This window comes from Homo sapiens, chromosome 6 (genome assembly GCF_000001405.40).
Source record: "Homo sapiens chromosome 6, GRCh38.p14 Primary Assembly".
Taxonomy (NCBI): Eukaryota; Metazoa; Chordata; class Mammalia; order Primates; family Hominidae; genus Homo; species Homo sapiens.
In genome coordinates this window covers 130223015-130235288 of record NC_000006.12, presented here as the reverse complement: position 1 = coordinate 130235288, position 12274 = coordinate 130223015, and the positions used below count along the sequence as shown (strand labels likewise).

General features: G+C 40.7%; 1 protein-coding gene across 3 annotated transcripts in view, besides 1 other annotated feature; it reads left to right on the top strand.

Moving 5' to 3' along the window:
• SAMD3 (sterile alpha motif domain containing 3) overlaps window positions 1-12274 on the top strand; it is a 223117-nt gene that overhangs the window by 130580 nt on the left and 80263 nt on the right. The gene's annotated exons all lie outside the window — the stretch shown is intronic.
• Window positions 11622-11731: an enhancer, noted in NCBI's record as "active region_25057". NCBI's record gives its function as "activates an Ori minimal core promoter by ATAC-STARR-seq in GM12878 lymphoblastoid cells {active_cell/tissue: GM12878}" and the evidence as "EXISTENCE:reporter gene assay evidence [ECO:0000049][PMID:35858748]".

Here is a 12274-nt window from a genome sequence, read left to right as displayed (position 1 = left end):
TGATGAGAGTACTACACACAATATGATTTAGTTCTACCAGAAGACAATATGATTACATTTAAGCAAGTTACATCAGAGAAAAACTTAGCTGTTTTCATATTACTTTAATAAAGTCAAAATATAAACTCAATTTGTCAATTTAAAGAACTACAATTTCCCTATTTCCTTTTTTTTGAGACAGGGTTATGCTCTGTAGCCCAGGCTGGAGTGCAGTGTCACAATCACCACTCACAGCAGCCTTGACCTCCCAAGCTGAAGCGATCCTCCCACCTCAGCCTCCTGAGTTGCTGGGACCACACATGCACACCACCATGCCTGGCTAATTTATTTTTATTTCTAGTAGAAACAGGGTCTCCCTATGTTGCCCAGACTGTTCTCGAACTCCTGGGCTCAAGTAATCCTCCCAAAATGCTGGGATTACTGGCATGAGCCATGGTGCCTGTCCCTCTATTTCCTTTTAAAGTTTATTGTGTATTCAAACAGTTTAGAAAAAATGTATAAAGATTAGAGTGTAAAGAAAAACTAGTTTTCAATTTCTGACAAGACAAGTGAATATTAGAGCATGGATCACCCATTTCCTATCTGTAGGGGAGGAAACCAGTGGTAGGCTGAACTCTGAACAGAGCTCTGTATGTGTTCAAGCACAACCATCATCTTACACGTTGGTTCAAATTTGCTATGCAGATTTGGTAGTGATCCAGGACATGTAACTTCTGGGATGATGGAAATGTCCATTATATTGATTATGATAATTGTTTTATGAAAATAGAGATATACATATATATGAAAAGATAGCCATATATTCATGGATATATATGTGTGTGTCAAAATGTATCATATTGTCCCCTTTACATGTGTGTCATTTGTTGAACATGAATTAAACATTAAGTTTCTTTAAGAAATCTCTTATTGATATTGAGAAGAAATAGTCAAGGAACCTAATAGAGAAATATGTACTTTATATAAAAATAAATAATTGCACTCCAGCTTGGGCAACAAGAGTGAAACACCGTTTCAAATAAATAAATAAATAAATAAATAAAAATGGATTTTGACCATATGAAGAAATAATTAAATTTACACATAAGAGAAGCAAAAATTAAGCCTCAGCTAACTACATACAAGTGACAAAAATCCCATAGTTTGGCAACTTCCAATGAATGACAAGGAAGGATGAGAGTTAGACATCACTCTTCTGTGTTGCTAATAGCAATGAAAAATAAATGATAAATCCCTATGGAGGGCAGTTTGGCAATTTCTACCAAAATTTCTGCAAAAATGACAAATGCATTTAATTTTAACCTGGCATTCATTCTCTGGGGAATTCATTCTACAAATTGTGATACTTGTAATAAATGACATATGCAGCATTGTATGGGGCTATATTCAGGTTGCAGAGTATATGAAAAGATTATCCATAAACCCCACTTTTTAAAAGGAAGTAATTTCATCTTAATTGCAAAAGCAACTAGTTTGTATTAGAGAGAATGTGTCATAAGATTAATTTTTAAAACAAAGTTGATTTCTACACCTTGAACACTAGATTCATCTTATAAATTCAGCCCATAAGCTTCCATGATGATAGAATTCAAGTGGTTCTATTTCAGGGTTTTGATTTAAAAAGAGAAACCAGCATACCCCAAAGAACAAATATCACCTTTCAGCCTGTCTTGCTTTTTAAAGTGATTCCTTCCTAAGAAATCGCTGTTGAATAGAAACTCAACCAGATGCTTGACATTTTTTCCTCTGTTCAGCTCGGGATCCTTGATGACCTCATTTGCTTTTCATTCACATTGCTGGACTGCTGGGAGGACAGTGTGAAGCTTCTGTTCATCTGAAATTTAAATCAAATCCTTTCCATGTTTAGTTTGAAATCCAAAGCATCAATGATCACTACCAATCAAGGCAGAGAGTTAAAAGTTGTCTAATAGGGTTGATGGGTGCAGCAAACCACCGTGGCACATGTATACCTATTTAACAGACCTGCACATCCTGCACATGTATCCCAGAACTTAAAGTATAATAATAACTGTAATCATAAGTACAGCACTTAAATGAGTTCTGTGATGCTTTCTAGTGAATTACTGGACCTAGTGTGGTCATGGAAATCCACAAATTTGTAGCCACCCAGCTAGCCAGAAGTGAGGGTAGCCCTGGAGACCCCTGAACTTGCAGTTGGTGCCTGAAGTGGGGGAAGCCCTATGGGAGATTGTGCCCTCAGACTTTGAAGTTTGGAAAACTCATTGTGCTGTCCTTCCTGAAGGACAGCCAGCCCTGTCTCTGCCAATCAGAAGCTTGGCACAGTAATCTCAGCTCGTGTCACGCATCAAATGACCTGAAGCTTGTACCACATCTCTGAAATGCTCTCTCTTTATCTTCCTACTGGCCAATTCCTTCAAAAAGCATCTTGAAAAATATTGTAATTTTTTCATTAAAAATATTGGTTATCTTAGCAAATAGTATCAAGTGCCCCTTTCATGCCATACCATTAGTAAAAGAAATAATAAAGGAGCAATAAATGCTAAGTGCTAGCATTTGCTAATTGTTTTTTTGTGATGCCTCAGTTTTATGAACCAGGTACAGTTATGATCTTTCTTTTCGCAGATGAGGAAAAGGAGGTTTAGGGTTATGTAACTTGTTCAAAGTCATACATCCAGAAAGGAGGAAAACCAACATGTAGACCTTATTTTTTTTGATTCTATCACTTGAACTCGTAAACTGTATACTCTCAGAACATAGTGTTTCAAATTGTGCTGACAGGTAGATATATTTTTGGAATGAGTAGCACTCTTAATTTTGGTTTTTCAAGAAGTGGATCCTGACAGATCTTGGGTGCAAATAAATACTAGGAAAGGAGCAGAAAAATGAAACAGGATAGTAAGACAGCCTGTAAAGAGTGCATTAATTAGCCCATTAACACTGACGGTAACTGAACTCGATCCTGCTTGGGAACTCTCAAAATCTGAGTAGAAGTTGTGCCTCTGAAAAATCTATAATGGCCTTGTCCAATCCTTTGGAGTCTTTTAAACACCAATCAGTCTATTGTAAGACTGTTCCATTTCCAGCCTATCCTGGGCACCATGGCCTCTAGTTGCAATGGAATTCCCCAGACAGTGGACAAAAAGGCCTTTCCTACACTGTATTGGCTAGGCCTGTGAGGCTGTGGGTGGACACTGACAAGTTCCTGGGTCACTATCGATCCAGGAACTGTCTATCTGTAATGTCTACTACAGTAGCCACATGTGGCCATTTGAATTTAAATTAATTAAAATTAAATAAAATTAAAATTTGTATCCCCAATCATATTACTGACATTTCAAATGCTCAGTAACCATGAGGTAGGAGCTACAAAACTGACTAATGCAGATATAGAACACTTCCATCAAAACAGAGAGTTCTACTGTCCAGTGCTAGTTTATGCTATTTAGGATCATTTTTGGAATGTTCCTTCAAGAAAACAGTGTGGGAAAAAAAAACAAACTATAATTGTTCATACCTTTTGACTGAATATTCCTGATTGCTCAAGGAAATAATCCTTGAACTACCTATGAGCCACCTATGAAAAAAGGTGATCAGCATAGCATTGTTTTTAATAACACACATACACATACACACAGAAACAATTTAAACACCCAACATTTAAAAGGTATGTCTAATTAATTTATACTTCTGCAAATTGAAATGCTATCCTTAAAAATTACTTTTTTTATTTTTATTTTTTTTTGAGACGGAGTTTCACTCTTGTCGCCCAGACTGGAGTGCAATGGCGTGATCTTGGCTCACGGCAACCTCCGCCTCCCAGGTTCAAGTGGATCTCCTGCCTCAGCCTCCCCAGTAGCTGGGATTACAGGCATCCATCGCCACCCCTGGCTAAGTTTTCTATTTTTAGTAGAGACAGGGTTTCACCATGTTGGCCAGGCTAGTCATGAACTCCTGACCTTAAGTGATCTGCCCGCCTCAGCTTCCCAAAGAGCTAGGATTACAGGTGTGAACCACTGTGCCTGGCCTAAAAATTACATTTTAGAAAGTTGAATAACATGGGAAAAAATTTTTATATCAGGCAAAATGACAGAAGTACGAAATAAATATAAATTTAAAAATAAATCGTGTATTATTATCTTAACTGTATTAAAATATATAAGATTTAAATATTTTTCCTTGTATATTCTCCACATTTTCTATCATGATAATGTTATTTCTATTATCATAACTAAAATCAAAATATGTTGCACCCATGCACACAATTTTTAAGGTCTTTGAAATCTTTATTTTCTTATTTAAGTCATTAATAGCACTGTTGAACAGAACATGACTAAAGGCTAAACTGAGGGGCAAGACACTGAGACTCTTCCCCCAGGTGAAAGGTAGCGGCCTCAGAAGTTTTCAGGTGTAAGTATTCAATACCAATTTTAACTCTTCCTTAATGTCTTAGCAATCAACCCATATTTATTTATGTTGACTACAAGATGTTCATAAGAGTTCTGTAAGCAGGTCGGAATATGTTTGCTCATTCAATTTATTCAACAAATATTTATTGAGAAATCACTCTGTGCCAAGCTAAACAGGAAAGGTCCAAGGATTGTGCATAGAAGAGGCGAAGAGGCCGGGCATGGTGGCTCATGCCTGTAATCCCAGCACTTTGGGAGACCGAGGCAGGTGGATCACCTGAGGTCAGGAGTTCAAGACCAGCCTGGCCAACATAGTGAAACCTGTCTCTACTAAAAAGTACAAAAATGTGCTGGGCATGGTGGCGGGCACCTGTAATCCCAGCTACTCGGGAGGCTGAGGCAGGAGAATCGCTTGAACCCAGGAGGCAGAGGTTTCAGTGAGCTGAGATTGCACCATTGCACTCCAGCCTGGGAGACAGAGCAAGACTCCGTCTAAAAAAAGAAAAAAAAGAAGAAGAAGGAGAGGCGAACAAACCTAGCCTTACTTTTAAGGACAGTGGACCACCATGTTCTGGGCATGAATTGAACAGCACAAAAAAGTCCCCCTGCCCAGCTGTTACTGCTGGGTTTCCCAGCCTGCCGAACATTCATATTATATACTTTGGATTGTGATGCAAACCCTCGAGGTGCAAAGAGTTCCAACATAATACCGTTCTCCTGATAGGCTCGAAGTAATAGCTTCAGTGTTCAGGAACTCTTAACGGCACTCTATGCAAATAAATCTGTGTTATTTTCTTTAACCATTTTATCATCAGACCTGTTCTGCACCACAAATTGTATTACATAAGATATAATGCTGTACATCACAATTTGCTGTAAAACATTTTATAGTATTTGTATGAGCAGGTAATTGTTTTATGAATTATGACTAGAGAAAAATAATTTCTCCAGCTGTGAAACTTACCTATATTTCAGAGTCTGTAGTTATCTGTTTGACAGCCATTAAAACTGGTCACTGTGGTGAGCTTTGCTGACTCTCTTTTGCTTTGAGCTTCCTTCCCCTCCTAGCTCCTCCCTATGCGGTTCATTTACTCATCATGAATTGATGGCTTCCTTTGTGCCAAACGTAGCACTAAGCGCTAAAAATACGAAGTTGGATAGGAAACAGCCCTTGCTCTCAAATAACATAAAGTCTAATGGGGGAAAACACAGGTCTGTAATCAATTTTATTCCTAGGTGACAAATGCCATAATGGAAGCATAACATGATGTTATGGTGCACCTAATTCATGTTTAGTCGCCTCCAGTTTCTCTTAATACCTATGACTTACCTCACTGTTTAAGAAAGTGTCAGCACACAGGTATAAATCTCAGTCCAATAGCTCAGGAGCACAAGACATGAAGCTTCCACTGTTTCATGGGAATTTATATTCCCATGAATACTAAGTTCATGGCTCTGAGCCCCACTTCCACCAGGGTAAAGAGAAAGATAAGTGACCTCAGTTCTTCCTGGGGATCCGCCACTCTTACTTCCTAGGGCTGTGTCATGAAGTCTACGACATGGGCGCTGCTAAGGCATTGGGAATGAATGGGTGCTCTAGTGGGGAATCTTACCTTTGGTCATCGGACATGTAGTTTTCTATCAAAATATCCACTGTCCCTGTCAACACAGTCCTCAGGACCAGAGGCTCACTACTACATCTGGGCCATGCTTGGGCACGAGAAATTGGTCAAGGCCTCTGGGGCTCCCGTTTATGCAAACTCACAGCACAGCATTGCTTTCTTGGGCATTGCTGTCTTCTCAGCAGTGCTACCAAGAAGGAAGGCCAAGGTCCTTCTCTCTCAGAGGACTCTCTCTCCAGTCTAGGGAAGTCCTCCTGTCTTTATGTTTCACCAGAACACACTCTCTAAGCCTGGGAAGCAACTAAATTTCCCTTAAGGCTCAAGCTTTTGTTTATAAAAACCAGAAACACCTGTAATAATGTATTGTTTCCACACTGCCCTATTCCTTCCCAATGGCAAGGAGCCCAGAGCCCACTTGGGAGAGAGGTGGCAGTGAGGAAGAAGGAATGTGGGCTTGGGAATGATCCCAGACACACGTAGAAATCCCTCTGCCCAGTACTGTCTGCTTACAGCTCCCACATGCGGGCTTCCATCAGGGTCCATGTTGAGTCCATTGCATGCAGTTGAAGAGAAGACTCAAGAAGGAGGAACATGCGTGAAAACATCTTTCCTTGTTTCTGGATGTCTGCTTTCCTTTCTGCCTTGCTTAACACCCGCGGCTCCCAGCCCTGACTGCACATTGGAACCACAGAGGAGAGCTTTAAAAAATACCTATGACCCACCCTCTTGAAATGCTCATGTAATTGGACAGATATGGAAGCTGGATATCAGCTTTTTTTAAGCTCCCCTGGAGATTAACTTGCAGCCAGAGGTAAGAATCGAACCATTCCTGTGCCCGTCCATTTCTGGTTCTCCCAAATTCCATTTTGTTAGCCCAGCCCTGCACTTTTTGAACTTTCAGGTTCATCATGGCATGCAGAAAAAAAACAATTTTTAATGCACAACGGGTTAAACAAGTGAGGCTGCTTGAAGCCTCTGGACACCTGGAAGGAGCTCTAGCTGCAGCAAAGAGAACAATCGAGTTCTCACAACCTGTCAACAGACTGGAGGTCACCACTGTGCTGAGATGCTGGAGTTGTGAACTCTTTGTTAAGATATCCATCTGGCTTTGTATATACAACATGTATATCATATTATAATGCTCAGCACAGGGAATACAAGGATGGAAACACACAATTGTCATTATGCATAGGCTTCTGGTTTATATCAGGATGAAAATACCTTATAGGCTGGTATCCTTAAGTGTAACTAGTTTTACTTGCTTTGCTGGACCTGATTTTTCTTAAAAAGGGTATCCTTATTCAATTAGCTGTGCATCCTTGGGCAAATCACTTGGCTTTTCTGAAATTCTCTCGTTTCCATTTAGGAAACGAGAGGATTTTACCAGGTGTGGAAGATCCACATAGGTCTCCGTGTCTGCTAATGCTGCAGCAGGAAATCAGAGGACGTCGAATGATTCCTTTGATTTTTCTTTTCTTTTTTTTTTTTTTGAGATGGAGTTTTGCTTTTGTCGCACAGGCTGGAGTGTGGTGGCACAATCTTGGCTCACTGCAACCTCTGCCTACCAGGTTCAAGCGATTCTCCTGCCTCAGCCTCTCAAGTAGCTGGGACTATAGGCACATGCCACCATGCCCGGCTAATGTTTGTATTTCTGGTAGAGACGAGGTTTCACCATGTTGGCCAGACTGGCCTTGAACTCCTGGCCTCAAGCAATCCACCCACCTTGGCCTCTCAAAGTTCTGGGATTACAGGCATGAGCCACCGTGCCTGGCAAGATTCCTCTGATTTTTTGAACTATCAAAAGCAGACCACTAAAGCAGAGACTTGAGCAGCTATTTGCACACCCCTGTGTTCGTATCAGCGTTATTCAAAATAGTCAAAAGATTGAAAAAGCCCAAATGTCCACTGTCAAGTGAATGGATAAACAAAATATGGTATATACATCAAATGGAATATTACTCAGCCTTAAAAATGAAGGCGATTCTCACACAAGCTACATGAATGAACCTTGAAAACATTATACTGAGAGAAATAATCCAGATACAAAAAAACAAATATTGTATGATTCCACTTATATGGCATACCTAAAATAGTCAAATTCATGGAGATAGAAAGCAAAATAATGGTCATCAGGGACTAGGGCTGCAGGGTGAATATGGGAGTTATTGTTCCATGGGTACAGAGTTTCATTTTGGGGATGATGAAAATGTTCTGGAAATGGATAATAGTGATGGTTGCACAATAATGTGAATATACTTATTGTCACTCAATTGTACCCTCAAAAAGGGTTAAGACGGTAAACTTTACATTATGTATATTTTTGCACAATTTATTTAAATGTAAAAAATATCAGATTACTGTATTTATTGTACATCCTTAGCTTTATGAAAAATCCTTGTAAACACAATGTTACTAATTTAATTTCAGTGATGTAAATAATTTTTTTTTTTGAGACAGAGTTTCGCTCTTATCGCCCAGGCTGGAGTGCAATGGCATGATCTCGGCTCACTGCAACCTCCGCTTCCCAGGTTCAAGCGATTCTCCTGCCTACAGAAAAGCTACACTGACAGTAGCTGGGATTACAGGCGCCTGCCACCATGCCCAGCTTATTTTTAGTAGAGACGGGGTTTCACCATGTTGACCAGGCTGGTCTTGAACTCCTGACCTCAGGTGATGCACCCGCCTTGGCCTCCCAAAGTGCTGGGATTACAGGCGTGAGCCATGGTGCCCGGCCCCTCATAATTATTTTTATAAAGTGTTATACACATTTCTCAAAGGTATAATTTGTGCATAATGACATTTGGGGATGGTGTGCTAACTTTGACCTATAGGGCTCTGTACATTGGAAATAAATCATAATAAATCTTTCAATTGCTCCTCAAACTTGGCTGATCATAAGAATCAATGGTAATGATTAGAAATACTATAAGAACTCACTCTACCCACCTGAATCAGAATCTTCTAAGAAAGGGCTTAGGAATCAATATTTTCATGAAGTACACCCCTTGTTCTTATATTAGGTAAGTTGGAAAATCATTCTTAAAAATAAAATTCTGAATTCTGAGTTCAACAGAGAGAAACACAGGGGATCAGCAGCAACCTCTGCACCCTTCAATAACACCTCAAGCTCCAGTCTGCCCATCAGGCTCTCCAGAAAGGTAGAATGACAGCTTCACTAATACCCCTTCCTGGGAAAAGCGGCGCTGTCCTGAATTACTGCAGATACTTCTGCAACAGTGGATAGAAGACTGTACCAGGAAGAGAATAACTGGATGAGATAACTCAACAAGTGATCACATCAATTAGATAAGAAGGGTGATGTGATCAGAAGACAATGGAGCCAGGATTAAGCCAACATCAGGCTGACCCCTCAATTTCCTTAGGCGTCTCTCCTTAGCACTTTACCAGGAATAGGTGCCCAGGCAAGCATTTTTCAAGCTTCCAAATGCCAAGGAGTTTGAAATGACAAGTTAGTTTTTGGCCTGGTTATAGAAATACTGAATTTTCTCATATCTTAAGCTTTTTGGATGACCTAATATATGAATAAATATTTTTCCTCTTCTTCCAACTACTCTCACCTTTATATTGGTGTGCCACATTTGTTCCCATATGTAATCAAAGAATGGTAGAAGTGAGTAGGCAGCAGTTAAGATTGGAATGTAAGGATTTTTAAAAATAAGTTTACCTTGGAACAATCTAAAGAGGAAAGCTATGTGCTATTATAATCCTTACAGTCTTTATTTCTAATATGCCTATCTTACTGAAACTGATCCAGTAGTCCCATAGACAGTTTTTCTTAAATATAGAAATTAATCCTTCTGGTTTTAAAGCTTGAAACTCACCAGATCCAGACAATGAGATACCAGCCTCTCATTCATTGTAATTGCTCCCTTACTCCTTCCACATTCTTGTTTTCCCATACATATTTAACATTTCTTCCCCGCTATATAAACCTCTAATTTTAGTTGATCAGGAAGATGGATTTGAGACTGAGCTCCCATTTCCTGGACTGCAGCACCTGATTAAAGCCTTCTTCCTTGGCAATACTTGTTGTCTCAGTCGTTGGCTTTCTGTGCAGCAAATAGCAGGACCTAAACTGAACCCCTGGTGTTTCAGTAACATTATTTTTTACTTGTTAATCATTCACATAACCTTTTCCTCTCCTCCTTACTTTCTTCCCCATGCTCACTCACTCTCTTGCTCAGTACTGCTCTCTGTCTCTGTCTGTCTCTCTTTATCTCTCTCTAACACACACACATACACACAAATTCAGACACACAGACTCATATTTAATGATGGACTATAGCCTACCAATTGGTATGAATTTTACCTTTTGGGCCAACTCTAAAAAGAGTGCTTCGGGCTGGGCGTGGTGACTCATGCCTGTAATCTCAGCACTTTAGGAGGCCGAGGCAGGCGGTTCATGAGGTCAGGAGATCGAGATCATCCTGGCTAACACAGTGAAACCCCATCTCTACTAAAAATACAAAAACTTAGCTGGGCGTGGTGGCACGTGCCTGTAGTCCCAGATACTCAGGAGGCTGAGGCAGGAGAATCGCTTAAACCCAGGAGGTGGAAGTTGCAGTGAGCTGAGATCGTGCCATTACACTCCAGCCTGGGTGACAAAGGGAGACTCCATCTCAAAAATAATAATAATAATAATAATAATAATAATAATAATAATAAATAAATAGAGTGCTTTTGCATAAACAAAAGTTTGAACATTCTGGCCCGTCCTCACATGAACCTAGGGCTGGCAGAAGCATGAGCATTTGTCACTCATGAGAAACACAGGGTCCTATGCCTTTTTGTGTCTCCACACCTCCCATCTGTGCTTTGCTTTTGATACGGGAGGCGGGCAGGGAAGTGCTGGGTAGAGAAGAATGGGGTCCCTGGCTAGGGCTCCACCCTCAGGCCTGTACCCATGGACGTAAGTGAGAACAGGCACTCCTGTTTTCACGCCCAAATGTTGCATTTTCCAAAAGCACTCTGGCCCGCCACACCCCCATCCTCTGCCTATAAAAACCCTGAGACCCTAGCGGGCACAGACACAAGCGGCTGGACATCAAGAGGAACACACTGGCAGAATACACTGACAGACTGGCAGGACATCAACAGCAGTATGATGTGGACCACGTAGAATTTGCCTGGGGGTGGTTGGAGGAGAGTCAGGCCACTGAGCGGCCTGACTCCAGGGGAAGACCGCCTTCCCATTCCATTCCCCTTGTGGATCCCATCCATCTGCTGAGAGCTACTTCCACCAGTCAATAAAACTGTGCACCCATTCTCCAAGCCTACATGTGATTCAATTTTTCTGGTACATTAAGGCAAGAACCTTGGGATACAGAAAGCCCTCTGTCCTTGCGATAAGGCAGAGGATCTAATTGAGCTGATTAACACAAGCCACCTGCGGATGGCTAAGCTGAAAGACTGCACTGTAACACACTCCCACTGGGGCTTCTGGAGCTGTAAACACTCAACCCTAGGTGCTGCCATGGGGTAGGAGCCCATGCTCCCCATGACCTGCCCGTCTGCATGCTCCCTCTAGGGGTTTGAGCTGCAGGGTACTGAAGAAGCGAGTCACACCCATCGCACGCCCTGCAAGGGTGTTTCCAAGTTTCACTTTGAGTCACACTGCATTAAGAAGATCCACTACCTTGCATCCCCTTCTTCCTGAAGAGGCCTACAAAGTCAGACCAGCACTTAGTGTTAACAGATCAAGAGAGCCCAGCTTGACTCTACCAGCTGAGCAATATAGGTGGATACAGAAGTCACCTTTCATGTGTTCTAACAAATGAGTAACTCCAAAAAAATAGTTGTAATATTTTAATAATGTAAGTTCTTGCCACTACTCAGAGCTATAAAATGTTCAGCTATCACCTGCACTATCACGTACACACTGAGCTATGTAACGAGAATTACATTCAGCCAATGTCTGCTAAATAAAGGTTTGTGCATTTTAGTTCAATGATGTAGCTACAAAGAAAATGAAGCCTCAAGACACTAGAACCTTCTGAGATGCAAAGCTTTGAGTCCTTGACTTTGAATTCAATGTCTAAATTCTAATACATTATTATTATATCTGCCTTAAGATTGATATAGGAAATTTTTTTTCTAGTTAGTGTTATTTCTTCTAGGAGCTTAAAAAAGGTAACTAAGGAAGAATTAAATGTTCCAAAGATATATTATGGTAAACATGTATGTACATACATGGGTATTTGTCACACTTGTCAGAATCTTCTTCCTTTGAGAGGTGCAAACGTT